The sequence below is a fragment of the Homo sapiens genome, chromosome 12 (assembly GCF_000001405.40).
Source record: "Homo sapiens chromosome 12, GRCh38.p14 Primary Assembly".
In the NCBI taxonomy this organism is placed as follows: domain Eukaryota; kingdom Metazoa; phylum Chordata; class Mammalia; order Primates; family Hominidae; genus Homo; species Homo sapiens.
This window is the reverse complement of record NC_000012.12, coordinates 108,857,308-108,875,900: the sequence shown is the minus strand read 5'-3', so window position 1 is coordinate 108,875,900 and position 18,593 is coordinate 108,857,308. Positions and strand designations below refer to the sequence as shown.

At 47.9% G+C, this 18,593-nt stretch overlaps 1 protein-coding gene across 6 annotated transcripts in view, besides 1 other annotated feature; it reads left to right on the top strand.

The window, feature by feature from the left end:
* Positions 17,849–18,588: a silencer, noted in NCBI's record as "silent region_4837". NCBI's record gives its function as "represses an Ori minimal core promoter by ATAC-STARR-seq in GM12878 lymphoblastoid cells {active_cell/tissue: GM12878}" and the evidence as "EXISTENCE:reporter gene assay evidence [ECO:0000049][PMID:35858748]".
* SSH1 (slingshot protein phosphatase 1) overlaps positions 18,318–18,593 on the top strand; it is a 79,393-nt gene continuing 79,117 nt past the window's right edge. For all 6 annotated transcript variants that reach the window (XM_047429022.1, XM_005268985.3, XM_047429023.1 and 3 more), the window contains exon 1: positions 18,318–18,473. Coding sequence is in view for 3 of the 6 variants with exons in the window: in XM_047429023.1 (XP_047284979.1) it covers positions 18,405–18,473 (69 nt within the window). In the remaining 3 variants the exon portion in view is untranslated. The remainder of the gene's footprint in view (positions 18,474–18,593) is intronic.

Sequence of the window (18,593 nt, the reverse complement as noted above, 5' to 3'; positions counted from 1 at the left end):
ACAATGGAATATTATACAGCAATGAAAAGGGAAAATACTGTTATATATAGCAACCTGAATGAATCTCAGTCATTAGGTTAAGAAGAAGCAGCCAGACACTTAAGAGCTCATATTGCATACTTCCACTTTTATGAAATTCAAGAACATACAAAATTAATTGACAATAACAGGCTGTGAGAAGAGTGGTTACCTCTGGGGGAGATACTGACCAGCAAGAGGCATGAGAAAATTTCCTGGGATGCTGGAAACGTGCTCCTTAATCTGGGTAGTGGTTGCAGGAGTTTATGCATATGTAAAAATTCATCAAGCTGCATATTTAAAATTAAGATTGATGCACTTGACACAATTAGGGAAGAAAGAGAGAGAGAAAAGGAGAGAGGAAGTAAGGAATAAAGGAAGGAAGGAGGAGGGAGTGGAGGGGAGGAAAGGGAGGAAGAAAAATGAAAGAAGGAGAAAGCAGGCAGGCAAGGAGGGAAGAAGGAAAGAAGAAGAAAGAGGGTGAGACAAAGAAAAAAGGAAAGACAGACTGTGCTTATAGTCACACTGCCTGGAAGCAGAGGCCCAAATGTGAACTAGGTTAGGGTTGCCAGATCTAGGAAATAGATTCCAGGACACCATATGTGTGTGTGTGTGTGTGTGTGTGTGTGTGTGTGTGTGTGTGTGTGTGTATCTATATTTTTTTTTTTTTTGAGATAGGGTCTCGCTCTGTTGCCCAGGCTGGAGTGCAGTGGCGTGGTCTTGGCTCACTGCAAACTCCGCCTCCCTGGTTCAAGTGATTCTTGTGCCTCAGCCTCCCAAGTAGCTGGCATTATAGGCATGTGCCACTGCACCAGGCTAATTTTTTTATTTTTAGTATAGACATTGTTTGCCATGTTGGCCAGGCTGGTCTTGAACTCCTGATCCTCCCACTTTGGCCTCCCAAAGTGCTAGGATTACAGGCGTGGGCCACCTCCCCAGAACGCCCTGTATTTTACCTGGCGACCCTCACCCAGGTTGTGTCCAGAACTGGGGTACTCAGTCACTACACTATAGCTTTTAATTGAGAGCCAGAGAAGGACCCCAGGCATCAGTGACCAGGACTGGAGGTGGCCTGTGGCTTCAGAAAGTCCTGTACTGTGTACAAACAAGCATACTTAGAATTATTATTTAATTTTGGAAAATGAGCTTGGGGGACAACTATTGTTTTCGTGATATAATCTACAGAAAGTAAAGTTCCACAGTATCTTCTCGGCTATTGGAATAAGGAGAAAGGTACCCACTAGGAAGGGTGTAAGAATTTTATCTTTATTAAAAAGGAGAGTGAGTTTAAGAAAAAGCCAGGCACAGTGGCTCACGCCTGTAATCGCAGCACTTTGAGAGGCTGGGGCAGGAGGATCTCTTGAGCCCAGGCGTTTGATACCAGCCTGGGCAACATGATGAAACCCCATCTCTACAAAAAATTAGCCAAGCATGGTGGCACAGGCCTGTAGTCCCAGTTACTTGGGAGGCTGAGGTAGAAGGATTGATTAGCCTGGGTGGTTGAGGCGGCACTGAGCTGAGATCTTGCCATTGCACTCCAGCCTGGGTAACAGAGCAAGACCCTGTCTCAAAAGAAAAGAAAAGAGAAAGGTGAGAAACACTGATACGGTTGAAGCTGTCCATTTTACACTTAGGGAAATTTAAGTGCCCTGAGACAGCTCTGTGGGACCAAGGCCCTTTCCACTACCCTGAAGTCCTAAACTCACTGATCCTAGTAATGGGAGGCCCTAGACTTTCGAAAGCAACTTCTGTTTATTTGGCTGGAATTGTAGAAGTTAAGGGTCTTTTTGACCCCACTGGGTGGTTGATAAACAAAACGACCTCCTGGTAGTTCTGAAATACAGTCAGGCCAGGGCAAAAACATTTACCTGGAGAATGCTCTGCAGGAGTCAACCCTGGTGGGGCCAGGAAGTTACAGAATAACAGGTTAACTCCCACTCTCTTTCTCAGACAAAATTAGCTTTAATCACTTTTTCAAGTATTAAGCAGTATTTAAGGATTTCAAGTATTTATGCAGCAGGCATAAAGAAGAAAGTAAGAATCCCCTGCAATTAATCCCACCACCAGGAAATAGGGACCATTACTTTGGGCAAATATTTCCAAATGTGAACATAAACACGGGCAGGTGGCAAAAATAGTATCATGTGACATATGTTGGTTCCTCTGTTCACTTGTACCAATATGGCATACCCTGAGCCTCTTTCCACGACCACTATAGAACAGTGACGTACTTTTTATTTTTCTTTTAATTTATTGACAAAGTCTTGCTCTGTTGCCTAGGCTGAAGTGCAGTGGTGTGAACATAGCTCACTGAAGCCTCGAATTCCTGGGCTCAAACGATTCTCCTGCCTCAGCCTCCCAAGCAGCTGGGACTACAGGATGGCATCCTTTTTACACAGGATGCCAATGTACCTGGATGTAACATTTTTTTTTCTTTTTTGAGACAGGGCCTCACTCTATTGCCCAGGCTGGAGTACAGTGGCGCAATCACAGTTCACTGTAGTCTTGACCTCTAGGGCTCAAGTGATCCTCCCTCCTCAGCCTCCTGAGTAGTTAGAACTACAGGCATGCACCACCAACCTGGCTAATTTTTACTTTTTTTTTTTTTTGTAGCGACGGGGTCTCCCTATGTTGCCCAGACTGGTCTTGAACTCCTGGGCTCAAGCGATCCTCCCATGTTGGTCTCCCAAAATGCTGGGATTACAGGCGTGAGCCACCATGCCCAGCCAGATGTAACAATTTTTAAAGTCAGTCCGTAGGGTTGAATTTACCTGTCATTTCTAATTTGTCGACATTAAAAACATCCTAGATGTGTTTCTTGGCACACTTGCCTGATCGTTTCCATAAGGTCAGTTCCTAAAAATGGAATCATTGTGCCAGGGTTTGTACATTTAAAATATTGATCCATTTTGCCAGACTGCCATCCAGCAGGGCTCTAGCAATTTACACATTTAAGGAGGCACTTACCCTCATATGCCCACTTTGTACTTACATGGCCCTGAGAGTGACAGCCTCCTTAAATTTTGCATCCTTCCTTCTCCCCATCTTACTCCAAGCCCTGCTAAGGAGATGGCAAAGTTTCATGTCCACTGGGCTTTGTATTTATTTCTTTGTAAAGTGCCTATTCTTTTTTCCCCATTTTTCTATTGAATTGTGTTGGTTATTTTTCTTATTAATTTGAAATAACTCTTTTTTTTTTTTTTTTTTTTTGAGATGGAGTCTCACTCTGTCACCCAGGCTGGAGTGCAGTGGTGCGATCTCGGCTCACTGCAATCTCTGCTTCCCGGGTTCAAGCAATTCTCCTGCCTCAGCCTCCTGAGTAACTGGGATTACAGGCGCATGCCACCACACCCGGCTAATTTTTGTATTTTTAGTACAGATGGGGTTTCACCATATTGGCCAGGCTGGTCTTGAACTCCTGACCTCGTGATCTGCCTGCCTCGGCCTCCCAAAGTGCTGGGATTACAGGCGTGAGCCACTGTGCCCAGCCTTGAAAGAACTCTTTATATGTATGTGTATCATCCCTTTGTTGCAAATGTTTTCCCCAATTTGTCTGTCCTACAAAGGTTTGAAAATTTTTTTAGCTGTGGCTTGCATTTGTAATCCCAGCTACTCAGGAGGCTGAGGTGCAACTGCCCAATGGGTTATCCTTGCCCGCTGCCTAGACAGAGCCAATGTATCAAGTCAGGGGAACTGCAATAGTGAAAGAGTTTAGGATCATGGTTCAGGGTTTTTTTCTGTGGGTTTTTTGTTTTGTTTTGTTTTTGAGACCGAGTTTTGCTCTTGTCATACAGGCTGGAGTGCAGTGGAGTGATCTTGGCTCACTGCCACCTCTGTGTCCCGGGTTCAGGCGATTCTCCTGCCTCAGCCTCCTGAGTAGCTGGGATTACAGGCGCACACTACCACACCTGGCTAATTTTGTATTTTTAGTAGAGATGGGGTTTCACTATGTTGGCCATGGTTGGTCTCGAACCCTGACCTCAGGTGATCCGCCTGCCTTAGCCTCCCAAAGTGCTGGGATTACAGGCATGAGCCACTGCGCCTGGCTAAGGTTTTTAAGGGTAATTTGGTGGGTAGGGGGTCAGAAAGTAGGGGAGTGTTGATTGTTCAGGTTGGAGACAAAGTTATAGGAGTTGAAGCGGTCCTCTTATGCTGGGTCAGTTTCTGGGTGGGGACCACAGATCAGATGAGCCTGTTTATCCATTTGGGTAGTGCCAGCTGATCCATCGAGTGCGAGGTCTGCAAAATATGTCAAGCACTGATCTTAGGTTTTACAATGGTGATGTTATCTCCAGGAGCAATTTGGGAGATTCAGAATCTTGTAGGCTTCAGCTGCATGACTCCTAAACCATAATTTCTAATCTGGTAGCTATAATAATTTGTTAGTCCTGCAAAGGCAGTCTAGTCCCCAGGCAGGAAAGGGGTTTGTTTTGGAAAATGGGCTATTAACATCTTAGTTAAACTTTGACAAAGTTAAACTATAAACTAAATTCCTCCCAAAGTTAGTTTGGCCTACACCCAGGAATGAACACGGACAGCTTGGAGGTTAGAAGCAAGATGGAGTCAGTTAGGTCAGATCTCTTTCACTGTCATCGTTTTCTCAGTTATAATTTTTGCAAACGCAGTTTCAGAGGCAGGAGGATTGCTTGAGCCCAAGAGTTCAAGGTGGCAGTGAGCTATGATTGTACCAGCCTGGGAAAAAGAACAAGACTCTAACTCTAAAAAAACAAAAGCAAAACAAAAACTTTTTTGTAGTTAAATCTATTTCCTTTTTTTTTTCGTCCTTTATGATTTTTGCATTATCATTTCTTTATAGTGGTGTGTGGTTTTATAACATTTTTTTTTTTTGAGTCGGAGTTTCGCTCTTGTTGCCCAGGCTGGAGTGCAATGGTGCGATCTCGGCTCACTGCAACCTCCACCTCCCGACTTCAAGCAATTCTCCTGCCTCAGCCTCCTGAGGAGCTGGGATTACAGACATGCGCCACCATACCCAGCTAGTTTTTGTATTTTTAGTAGAGACGGGGTTTCTCCATGTTGGTCAGGCTGGTCTCAAACTCCTGACCTCAGGTGATCCACCCGCCTCAGCCTCCCAAAGTGCTGGGATTACAGGCGTGAGCCACCACGCCCAGCTTTATAACATACTTTTATATGGCTATAGTCATGTTTAGAAACCCTGCTTCATCTCTCTCCCTTGCTTCATATTAAAAATTACTCACACAGACTTTCTATAACTTTTGAAGGTTTTTTTTTTTTTTTTTTCTGAGAACGAGTCTCACTCTGTTGCCCAGGCTGGAGTGTGGGTGGTGTGATCTTGGCCCACTGCAACCTCTGCCTCCTGGGTTCTAGTAAATCTCCTGGCTCAGCCTCCTGAGTAGCTGGGACGATAGGCGCCCTCGACCATGCCCAGCTAATTTTTGTGTTTTTAGTAGAGGTGGGGTTTTGCTATATTGGTCACACTGATCTAGAACTCCTGACCTCAGGTGATCCACCCGCCTCGGCCTCCCAAAGTGCTGGGATTACAGGCGTGAGCCACCATGCCTGGCAACTTTTGAAGGTTTTTTAAACATTTAACTGACTCATTTGGAATTAATTTTGGAGACTAGCAGTGGGGTAGGGATCCGCATTTACTTGCTAGCCAGTGGCAGCAGAACTGTTGGTTGAGTAACTCACTCTTACTCCACGCTTCACAGATACCTACCTCCTATTATCGTTCACCAGACTTTCCTGTGTGTTTGAGTTTATTCCTGGACTTAATGTTGTGCTCCATTCATCTGTTTGTGGCTTTCTAGGCCAGCACCCATTCTATGTTTGTTTTTGTTTTTGTTTTTGTTTTGTTTTGTTTTTGAGATGGAATTTTGCTCTTGTTGCCCAGGCTGGAGTGCAGTGGCGCAGTCTTGGTTCACTGCAACCTCTGCCTTCCAGGTTCAAGGGATTCTCTTGCCTCAGTCTCCCAAGTAGCTGGGATTATACGCATGCAGCACCACACCCTGCTGATTTTGTGTTTTTAGTAGAGACAGGGTTTCACCATGTTGGCCAGGCTGGTCTTGAATTCCTGACCTCAGGTGATCCACCCACCTCGGCCTCCCAAAGTGCTGGGATTACAGGCATGAGCCACTGCGCCCGGTTTTTTTTTTTCTTCTTCTTTTTTTTTCTTTCTTTTTTTTTTTTTTTGAACTGGAGTCTCGCTCTGTAGCCCAGGCTGGAGTGTAGTAGTGTGAGCTTGGCTCACTGCAACCTCTGCCTCCCAGGTTCAAGTAATTCTCCTGGCTCAGCCTGCAGAGTAGCTGGGACTACAGGTGCACACCACTATGCCCAGCTAATTTTTATACTTTTAGTAGAGACAGGGTTTTACCATATTGGTCACACTGATCTAGAACTCCTGACCTCAGGTGATCCACTCACCTTGGCCTCCCAAAGTGCTGGGATTACAGGCATAAGCTGCTGCACCCGGCCCCATTCTGTTTTAATTTCTACAGCTTTGTCATATGTTTTAATATCTAGCAGAACAGATTCCTTCCCTTTAATCTTCTTTTTCCTAGTTTGCAGGTCTCTTCTCCCACGGTTACTTTTCTGGGGTGGTTTAGTGATTAAGACCAGGGACTCTGGAGTCAGGCAGACTGGGCTGGTGCCCCAGCTCCACCTTTCCTATCCATGTGTCCTTGGGCTGGTACTTAGGGAAACCAGGGCACAGTGGGGAGGCCATGTGGCAGGAGGCCCAAGGGCACACATGTAAATATCAAACATGCTTGATGTCATCTCACCTCCACGGTTTCCAGGATCTCAGACAAGTCCCCTCTTGAAACCTCCTAAGTAAAATGGGAAGGGGAACAGGTAATAGCAGTACTTTACTCTCAGAAAAATTAAATAAAGAGGGACTTTCTCCTATGGTGGAATTAAGATGAAACAGTGACTGTCACGTGATGCAACGCACATATATACCCAATAAATGTTAGCTTGTCCAGTTATCTGTTGTAAAGATCCCTACACTCAAAAGAATCAAGTTGGGATTTCAATAGCATTTCCATTTAATTTAATTTCGAGAGGTTGTTAACTCTACCATACTGAGTCTTCCCATCCAAAAACAAAGCTTCTCCATCTCTCCATTGATGCCCTCTTTTTTTTCCCCTTTTGGTAGAGTTTTTTAACTCTTCACATTTTTCTTTCAAAAATGGGGTCTACTGTCCTACGCTGTTTGGTGGCCTGCTTTTCTTTTCTTCCACTTAATATTTTATAAAAATCTTTCTGTACTAGTGCATGGTTTTATAATATTTTTATGGCAGCATATAAAAGTTATCTATTGCTGCATAACAAGTTACCTTAAAATTTAGCAGCTTAAAACAATAAACATTTATTATCTCATACATTTTCTTTGGGCCTGGAATCTGGAAGCAGCTCAGCTGGGCAGCTCTGGCTCAGAGTGTCTCATGAGGTTGCACTCCAGATGTTGGCCATGGCTGTGATCTCATCTGAAGGCTTGAATGGGGGGCCTGGCACAATGGCTCTTGCCTGTAATCTCAGCACTTTGGGGGTCCGAGATAGGCAGATCACTGGAGGCCAGGAGTTTGAGACCAGCCTGGGCAACATGGCGAAACCCTGTCTCTACTAAAAATACAAAAAAACTAGCTGGGCATGGTAGCGCACGCCTGTAATCCCAGCTACTCGGGAGGCTGAAGAATGAGAATCGCTTGAACCCAGGAGGCAGAGGTTACAGCGAGCCAAGATGGTGCCACTGTACTCCAGCCTGGGAGACAGAATGAGACCCGGTCTCAATTAATAAGTAAATAAATAAATAAAGGCCTGACTGGGGCTGGAGGATCCATTTTCAAGGTGGTGCATTCACATGACAATAGGTTAGTGCTGGTCATTGGCAGGAGACCTCAGTTTCTTGCCATGCGGCCCTCTCTCTTTGGCTGCTTAAATGTCCTAAATGTCCCCATGACATGGTAGCTGGATTCCCCCAGAATGAGAAATCCAAGAGACAGCAAGACAGCAGCTTCAGTGTCTTTTATGACCCCTAGCCTCAGAAGCCACATGCTGTAGTATCTGTGATATCCTAGTGGTTACACAGGTCAGTTCTATGTATTGTGTGAAGAGACTCCACAGGGCATGAATATCAGGAGATGAGGACCACTGAGAGCTATCTAGGAGGGATATCACATGCATATACCCAATTGATCTAACCAATGCTTTCTTATAGGACATTAATCATTCCATATTAAGAGTTGAGATTCTTTTGTTTGTTTTTTGAGACAGAGTCTCACTCCGTCACCCAGGCTGGAGTGCAGTGGTGTGATCTTGGCTCATTGCAACCTCCATCTCCTGGATTCAAGTGATTCTTGTGCATCAGCCTCCTGAGTAGCTGGGACTACAGGTGCATGCCACCATGCCTGGCTAATTTTTGTATTTTTAGTAGAGACAGGTTTTTGCCATGTTGGCCAGGCTGGTCTCTAACTCGTGGCCTCAAGTGATTCACCCACCTTGGCCTCCCAGTGCTGGGATTACCAGCATGGGCCACCGCACCCCACCAAGAGTTGAGATTCTGAGGCCCAGCAAGGGTCAGTGTGTTGCTTGTGATCATAGTGAATAAAAGGCAAATTCAGGTGAATACACCCCTGGCAGAGGCCAGGGAACACCTTGATCTGGCAAGCAGGTTAAATGAAGGGATGGGTAGAGGAAGGGAGGCTTCAGCCAACTCCGCACAGGGGCAGAGATCCCTCAACTGCCTGGCTGCTGGTGCCTATTGACCCACCCAGAGAGATGCTTTGTCAGAAGCCCCAGATACCTGACTTCCATATCTAACACTGGACACCCTGGCCCAGGTGGCAGAAGCTTTGAGTCCTCTGAACACCGTTCCCTGCAAATAGTGGAACATCCAAACTGTCACCTCCCAGGCTAGAAAGGCCAACAACCCATGTATGTGGTCTGGGGTCTAGTTGGCCTGGGTTCAAACCCTAGCCTTGCTCTGAGCCTCATTTTCTGCAGCTGATGAAATGATCATGTTAGATGCGTTCCTTTCCTGTGGCTGCTGTAACAAAGTGCCACAAACTGGGAGGCTTAAACCACAGGCATTTACTCTCACAGTTCTGGAGCCTGGAACTCTGAAATCGAGTTGCTGGTTTCTTCAGAAGGCCACGCAAATCTGCTCCTCACTTCTCACTCCTAGCTCTGGTGGTTTGCTGACCATCTCGGGTGCTCTTTGGCTTGTGGCAGCACAACTACAACCTTCAGGAAGCATTTTCCCCTTGGCTCTGGGTCCAAATTTCCCCTTTTATTATTTATTTATTTATTTGTTTGTTTGTTTATTTTTTGAGATGCAGTTTCGCTCTTGTTGCCCAGGCTGGAGTGCAATGGCGCAATCTCAGTTCACTGCAACCTCCACCCCCCGGGTTCAAGTGATTCTCCTGCCTCAGCCTCCGAAGTAGCTGGGATTACAGACATGCACCACCACGCCTGGCTAATTTTGTATTTGTAATAGAGACAGGGTTTCTCCATGTTTGTCAGGCTGGTCTCGAACTCCTGACCTCAGGTGATCCACCCGCCTTGGTCTCCCAAAGTGCTGGGATTATAGGCATGAGCTACCGCGCCCAGCAAATTTCCCCCTTTTCATACGGACACAGTCATATGCGAATAGGGCCCCGCCCTAATGACCTCATCTTAACTTGATCAGCTGCAAAGACCTCATTTCCAAATAAGGTCCCATTCACAGGGACTAGTGAATTTTGTGGGGACACAATTCAACCCAATACCTTAGGTACTATTAGTAAATAGGACAGCACGCTCTGCCTTTCCTGCATAGTATGCTGTTCAATTGACACAACCAAGCTCTGAGGTCAGCACTACCACTTTCTTTTCTTTTCTTTTCTTTTTTTTTTTTTTTTTGAGATGGAGTCTTGCTTTGTTGTCCAGGCTGGAGTGAAGTGGCGGGACCTCGACTCACTGTAACCTCTGCTTCCTGGGTTCAAGCGATTCTCCTGCCTCAGCCTCCTGAGTAGCTGAGATTATAGGCACCCACCACCACACCTGGCTAATTTTTGTATTTTCAGTAGAGACAGGGTTTCACCGTCTTGGACAGGCTGGTCTTGAACTCCTGACCTCAGGTTATCTGCCCACCTTGGCCTCCCAAAGTGCTGGGATTACAGGCGTGAGCCACTATGCCCGGCCGAGCACTATCACTTTCATATCAATTTTACAGAGAAAGACAGTGGGTCTCGGCTGGGTCTGAAGGCTCACACCTGTAATCCCAGCACTGTAGGAAGCCAAGGTGGCAGCCTGGCCTGGCCAACATGGTGAAACGCCGACTCTACTAAAAATACAAAAATTAGCTGGGTATGGTGGCACACACCTGTAATCCTAGCTACTCAGGAGGCTGAGGTGGGAGGATCACTTGAGCCTGGGGGGAGGAGGTTGCAGTGAGCCGAGATCGCGCCACTGCGCTCCAGCCTGGGTGACACAGACAGAAAGAAAATGGGTCTCAGAAAAAGTACCTCACAGTTCCTTAGTGGGGAGGCCAGTTTGAATGAACCAGGCAGATCCCAGGGTTTCTACACCTCCCTGGTGGTGCTGTCATGGTGATTCCTCTGCTCAAATATCACCTCACCCAGAAGCTTCCCTGACCATTTGTCTAAGTGGCCTCCTCCATTACTCTGCCCTTAGCCTGCTTTGTTTTTCTCCCAAGCTTTTTCATGATTGGACATCATATTTCATTTATTTGACACATATCAGTGCCTATCTTGTTCTAAGACCCTTACCAATATTAATTCATTTAATTAATTATTATTATTATTATTTTGAGACAGTCTCACTCTGTCACCCAGGCTGGAGTGCAGTGGCATGATCTCGGCTCACTGCAACCTCCGCACCCCCTCAGTTCAAGCGATTTTTGTGCCTCAGCCTCCCGAGTACCTGGGATTACAGGCACCCACCACCACAACTGGCTAATTTTTGTACTTTTAGTAGAGACGGGGTTTCGCCATGTTGGCCAGGCTGGTCTCGAACTCCTGGCCTCAAGTGATCCACTGGCCTCGGCCTCCCAAAGTGCTGGGATTACAGGCATGAGCCACCGTGCCCGGCCTATTAATTCATTTAAATGCAATATATTTACCACATATGATTTTAAACATATTTGCATATATATATATTTTTACTATATTTCCCACTTGATTGAATGCTCTTCAAGGGCAGTGATTCCATTTTGTTCACTGATGGAACCCAGATTCCTAGACTAGTGCCCAGGAGAGCAACAAACATAGTTTATTGGATGAATTGAGTGAATGAGAAAATGACACAACGCTTGGGAAGCACCTGGAATATACTGGGTAATGGCATTATAATGATATGTTTTTTAAAGCCCAAATGGAGGTTGAGTTTTATATTCATTTCGTATGGCTGCTGTAACAAATTCCCAGAGATTTCGTGGCTTAAAACAACATAAATTTATTCTCTTGCAATTGTAGAGATCAGAAGTCTAAAATCAAGACGTTGCCAGGATTGGACATGGTGGCTTGTGCCTGTAATCCAAGCAACTGGGGTGGCTGAGGCAGGAGGATTGCTTGAGCCTAGGAGTTCAAGAACAGCCTAGGAAACACAGCAAGACCTTCATTTCTTTTATTTTTTAGACACAGGGTCTCACCCCATCAACCAGGCTGGAGCACAGTGGCATGATCATGGCTCACTGCAGCCTTGATCTCCCAGGCTCAGACGATACTCCCACCTCAGCCTCAGGCATGTGCCACCATGCCCAGTTAATTTTTTGCATTTTTTGGTTTCGCCATGTTGCCCAGGCTGGTCTTGAACTCCTGGGCTGAAGCAATCTGCCCGCCTTACCTCCCAAAGTGCTGGAATTACAGGCATGAGCCACTGCACCCAGCTGAGACCCTCGTCTCTAAAAAAACAAACAAACAAACAAAACCCTTAAAAATCAACCGGGCATGGGGAACATCACACACCGGGGCCAGTCAGGGGGTGGTGGGCCAGGGGAGGGATAACATTAGGAGAAATATCTAATGCAGATGACGGGTTGATGGGTGCAGCAAACCACCATGGCACGTGTATACCTATGTAACAAGCCTGCACATTCTGCACATGTACCCCAGAACTTAAAGTATAATAATAATTAAAAAAAGTCAACCGGGCATAGTGGTGTGTGTCTGTAGTCGCAGCTACTCAGGAGGCTGAGGTGGGAGAATCCCTTGAGCCCTGGAGGTCGAGGCTGCTGTGAGCTATGATGATGCCACTGCACTCCAGCCTGGGTGACAGCTCTGTGAGCAAGACCCTAACTCAAAAAAGAAAAGAAAAAGATATCAGCAGGGCTCCATTCTTTCTGGAGGCTCTGAAAGGAGAATTCATTTTTTGGTGTTTTTCCACTTTTAGCAACTGCCTGCATTCCTTGGATTGTGGCCTCTTCCTTCACTCTAATCCCTCAGTTCCGTTGTCACATCTCTTACTACTGACTCTGACCTTCTCACCTCCCTCTTATAAGGACCCTTGTGATTACATTAGGACCTCTTGGGCCTCCTCCAGGAAAATTTCCCCATCTAAACATCCTGAGTTTAATCACATCTGTAAAACCCTCTTAGCATGCAAGGTAACATAGGCAGGGATTCTAGGGATTTGGAATATGGACATCTTTGCAGGCCATTATTCAGCCTATCAGAGCTTTATTACCTCTGAATATCATTTTGGAATGAATAATTAAGGAGAAATTACAAGTTATTTGCTTTAACAGGCAAACTACTGGCCAGGTGCAGTGGCTCACACCTGTAATCCCAGCACTTTGGGAGGCCGAGGTGGGTGGATCACTTGAGGTCAGGAGTTCGGGACCAGCCTGGCCAACATGGTGAAACCCCGTTTCTACTAAAAATACAAAAATTAGCTGGGCATGGGGGTGGGCACCTGTAATCCCAGCTACTTGGGAGGCTGAGGCAGGAGAATCACTTGAACCCAGGAAGCGGAGTTTGCAGAGAGCCAAGATCAAGCCACTGCACTCCAGCCTGGGCAACAGAGCAAGATTCCATCTCAAAAAAAAAAAAAAAGGGAACTATTACTTATAATAGTTGGTCATTAATGACAAAACCGCAATTACTTTTGCACCATTAAAAAAAAAAAAAATGACAAAAACCGCAATTACTTTTGCACCAACCTAATTTGCACCAACACTTTCTGAGGCTGTCCTGGAAGAACCTGTCTTTGCCTGAGTTCTAAAGCAGAAAAACATGGGTGAACCAGGTTCACCACTCCTTAGTTACATAACTTGGGGCCAGTGCCTTAACCACTCTGTGCATCAATTTCCTCACCCATGAAATGAGAATCACAGGGTGACAAGAATGAATGTACCTAAAGTGTCCCAACCCAGAAATGGGCCTAGGGCAGATCCACAATGCCATTGTCACTAATGCACAGGGGCTGTAGGAGCACAGAGAAGGGGTGCCTAACCCAGCCACGGGGCAAGGAAGGCTTCCTGGAGGAGGTGATCTTGGAGTATAAGTGGGGGGACAGTCACATGTTAATAAATCATGTCCCCCACACACTCACAAAGCACTTTGCATTGTGCCTTAGCAGAGAGCAAATAGCTCAATAACTCACTGTTTTTTATTAGTTACAAAAGTGAGCTGGGACTACAAGGAGGAGGTCAAAGATGATTAAATAAACTATTATATGATGAAAAATCATGATACTGATTGGAAAGGGCTCTAATGCATGGGAGAAAACTTCAGAGCTGCCTCTACTGGATTGTTCCCCTCCTCCATGCTCAGGGCTTCTTGGGACCTGCCCTGACTGAGGCCTGGGAGCTTTCACTTCCCCTTGTCCACTCCACCCCATCAGAGGCTACTGGAGTCAAGCCGACAGGCTTCCTTTTTTTTTTTTTTTTTTTTTTTTGAGACAGAGTGTCAAAAGTGGCACGATCTCAGCCCACTGCAGCCTCCACCTCCTGGTTTCAGGCGATTCTCCTGCCACAGCCTCCCGAGTAGCTGGGATTACAGGTGCACGCCACCATGCCCAGCTGAACCACAGGCCATTTTCACAAAAGGCTTTAGAATGGCCAAAGTTGTAAAAGAATCAAATAAAGACAGGATCAATAAAAGTGCTTTGCTGAGCTACACTGAAGTCTGAAGTAAGTGGAAGAATCAGTGACACAATACTGATGCCAATTTTACTTAAAAATTTGATACTTTGGCCAGGTGTGGTGGCTCATGCCGGTAATCCCAAAGCTTTGGGAGGCCAAGGTCGGGGGATTGAGTGCCTCCAGGAGTTTGAAACCAGCCTGGGCAACATAGCAACACCCAGTTTCTGGCAAAAATAAAGTCAGCCAGGCGTGGTGGTGTACACCTGTAGTCTCAGGTACTCCGGAGGCAGAGGCAGGAGGATGGCTTGAGCCCAGAGTTCAAGGCTGAAGTGAGCTAGGATTGCACCACTACACCCAGTCCTGGGTGACAGAATGAGACCTTGGCTCTTAAAAAATTTTTGTAAATATTTTGACCAGGTGCAGTGGCTCACACCTGTAATCCCAGCATTTTGGGAGGCCGAGGCAGGCAGATCACTGATTTCAGGAATTTGAGACCAGCCTGGCCAACATGGTGAAACCCCATCTCTACTAAAAATACAAAAATTAGCCGGTCATGGTGGTGGGGGTCTGTAATCCCAGCTACTCGGGAGGCTGAGGCAGGAGAACTGCTTGAACCCAAGAGGCAGAGATTGTGCCACACTGCACTCCAGCCTGGGCAACAGAGCAAGACTCTGTCTCAATTAAAAAAAAAAAAAAAAAGCAAATTTTAAAAATATTTTATTCATCATGGATTTGGCATTAATTTTGATTTTCTAAAATATTGCATTAAAATACTATTTATCTTAATCATTGAGTTTTTGGGGGCACCCTCTTACATTTTGCACCCTCACGCTGGTCCCAGCCTGATTCCTGAGGCTTTTCTTAGGGACCGTTCCTGGCTCTACGGTAATGGGACAAGACAGAGAGATGGACCCATTATGATAAGGCAGACTGACACTTGCTGTGTGTTTAAGGGTAGGGTGAGGGCTACGAGATCCTGGAAATGACACTGCTTAAGGGGCAGGGAAAGCTTTTTGGAGGTGATTTCTAGCAAGAGTTAGTTGTGGGGAAGAAAAGGGCTCTCAGCTCTAAGAGGAAGTGAGAAGGGGTGGAGACTGCCTCCAAAAAAGTTGGGGTGAGTGGAAAAGCAGGCCGGCCAGAGCAGGGGGATTAGGATTGGGGGCCACGGACGGGTACCAGGATCAGATCTAGGTAGGAATTTCTTGGTGAAGAGGCCATTGCATTTGTATAGGCAGTAGTTCTCAGACTGTCGTCCCCAGACAGAAGCATCAGCATTGCCTGTGAATTTGTTAGACGTGCAAATTTTCCAGCCCTACAGCAAACCTTGTGAATTCGAAACTCTGGGAGGTGGGGTCTAGCAATCTGTATTTTCTCCAGGGGATTCTCAAACTCTCAAATTTGAAAACTAATGTAAGAGAGACATAAAAGAAAAATAAATCATAATGAAACAACATGCATTACAATGTGGAAATGCTCAGCCACTACTCCCTTAGAGGACACAGGGGCATCTCAGAAGCATGGGCCTGCCAATAATCAATGTGCTTGGATTTGAGAAATAAAATATTCTCTACTCAACTGAATTTTGTCCACAATTTTCCCTTATATTTGACATTTAAGTACCTATGACTGTCTGTCTACCTAGAGTGCAGCTACAGTTGTGGGCACCTTGTGTGGGATGCTCTAATATTAGCAGAGGCGTTGCCATCCATTACCTCCTTTTCCCTAAGGATGGATGAACAACTCTTGACAAAACTCTCAAGCAAAACAAAGTGTATTTTCCCTTCCTTTCCCTCCCCTCCCCTCCTCTCCCCTCCCCTCCCCTCCCCTCCCCTCCTCTCCCCTCCCCTCCTCTCCCCTCCCCTCCTCTCCCCTCCTCTCCCCTCCCCTCCCCTCCCCTCCTCTCCCCTCCCCTCCTCTCCCCTCCCCTCCTCTCCCCTCCTCTCCCCTCCTCTCCCCTCCCCTCCCCTCCCTTCCCTTCTCTCTTTCTCTCTGTCTTGCTGTGTCACACAGGCTGGAGTGCAGTGGCACGATCTCAGATTGCTGCAACCTCTGCCTCCCGGGTTCAAGTGATTCTCCTGCCTCAGCCTCCTGAGTAGCTGAGATTATAGGTGCCCGCCACCATGCCTGGCTAATTTTTTGTATTTTTAGGAGAGACAGGGTTTCAACATAGTCACCTTTCTGAAAATTCAGTAAAAAATACCAGGCTAGCCATGGTGGCTTCTGTCTGTAATCCCAGCACTTTGGAAGGCGGAAGCAGGAGGATTGCCTGGGCAACATAGTTAAACTTTTTTTTTAAAGGAGCTGGGTGTGGTGGTGTGTACCCGTTGTACTCAGGAGACTGAAGCAGGAGGATGATTTGAGCCTGGGAGATGGAGGCTGCAGTGAGCTATGATTGTGACATTGCACTTCAGCCTGGGTGACGGGAGTGAGACCCTGTTTCAGAAAAAAAGTGAGAGAAAGAGAGGAAGGAAGGAAGGAAGGCAGGAAGGAAGGAAGGAAGGAAGGAAGGAAGGAAGGAAGACTAGTGTTGATGCATGAAATGGAGTTAGGTTCTGGCTTCAAATTACTATAAATGGGTTTTTCACCCAGGAAACATTTTGTGGGAATGGAGCAATTCTTGTTGGGGAGACTGTCCAGTGCATTGGAAGACATTTAGCATCCAAGGCTCTTGCACTCTAAATGCCAGGAGCTCTCCCCCTCCATCAGCAAGACAACCACAAACATTCCCACAAATCCCCTCTTAGAAACGCTCCGTAGAAGCTACAGTGCCCCCCACTAGAATCACCTTTGAGATGAATCGTGCTGAGACCCTGTGAATAACATGGAGGAGGTCACAGCCCCAGGACAGAGGGAGGGACGGGGAAGAATCCAGGAGGCTGCGTGGGTTTCCTGTTGGGCAGTAAGACAAATTTGCTAAGCTGCGGGGCAGGCTGGGACCACTGCGTTTGCGAGTGCTTGTGCAACATGCAGAGGTTGGGGGTGGGAGCCGGGAGATGAGATTTTGGCTAAAAGAAAAGTTTCCTACTACTAAGTCAAGCCAGAATTGCCTTCTTGGTATCTTATTCCATGTTCCCCTCTCCATCCCCATAACTGGTCACCTCTCCCCGGGACAACAGCAGCAGCCTCCTCCCTGGTCTCCCTCAGCCCTCTGCCCCGTGGTCCCTCATCCACGCAGCAGCCGGAGCGATCTTTCCAGAGAGGATGGAGACTCCAGCCATTCCTCCCCTCTTCCCTTCCCTGAGTGCTGGCCTCCGGTTGACAAACTTCTTCCTGCTTCAGGGCACGCTGATCCCCCCTGCTTGGAGAGCTGTCTCTCTGTTCTTTCACCTGTTAATCCTGCTTATGCTCAAGCCCAAGCCTCAGAATAAAGCTCTTCTGGGAAGCCTTCCCTGACCTCCAAGGAGTTGGCTGGGTTTCAGAACACCCAGAAAGAATTCATTGAAAAAGATTAGCAAAATACTTTTTTAAAAACGTGCCTAATAACTTGATTAACCTCTGCAAAATCAGGCGAATCTATTTTGCTTACTGTTTTTGTTTTTTGTTTTTTGTTTTTTTGAGACCGAGTCTCGCTCTGTCGCCCAGGCTGGAGTGCAGTGGCGCGATCTCAGCTCATTGCAACCTCCGCCTCCCAGATTCAAGCGATTCTCTTGCCTCAGCCTCCCGAGTAGCTGGGACTACAGGCGCGCACCACTGCGCCCAGCTAATTTTTGTCTTTTTAGTAGAGACGGGGTTTCACCATGTTGGCCAGGATGGTCTCGATCTCTTGACCTCGTAATCCGCCCGCCTCAGCCTCCCAAAGTGCTGGGATTACAGGCGTGAGCCACCGCGCCCGGCCCCAGGACGTCTTTTATTTCCTGGTCGCTGTACAGTCCTGTCTGCACGGTCGCCGGGCCTCAGTTTCCCCAGGCAGAGCAGCGGGCAGGGCCCCTGGGGCGTACGGGCTCCGGGCGGCGCGCGCGCCCCCGAGTCCCAGGCCTGATAGCGGGGCGCGCGGGCGGGGGCGCGTGTGTCGGGCGCGCGAGGGACGTGATCGACCAGCCGAGGCCTCGGGCAGCCCTCAGGGCCCCCGCGCACGCGCGCCTCCTCGTCCCGCCCTGCCCGCTTCCCCGCCCACTCCGCGCACTGAGGCCTGCGCGCGCCGGCGCGGGAGGCGGGAGCTGGGGGCGGGGGCGGTGGCGACGCCGAGGGGGAGGGGCGGGCCCGGCCCGGCTCGGCCCGGCCGCCCGCGCGCGGCTCCAGGAGGCCCCGGGCCCGGCCCGGGCGGCGGTGGCGGTGGCGGCTCTAGCTCGAGACGTCTGTGGCGCCCTCGCACCGCGCCGCAGCCATGGCCCTGGTGACCCTGCAGCGCTCGCCCACGCCCAGCGCCGCCTCCTCCTCGGCCAGCAACAGCGAGGTGAGCCCCGGGCTCGCCGCGCCCGGCCTGGGCCGCCGGACGCCGCGCCGAGGCCGCCGGAGCTGGGGCCGCGCGTGCGGGGCAGGGGGGCGGCTGCGCGGGCTCCTCGGGGCCCCGCCG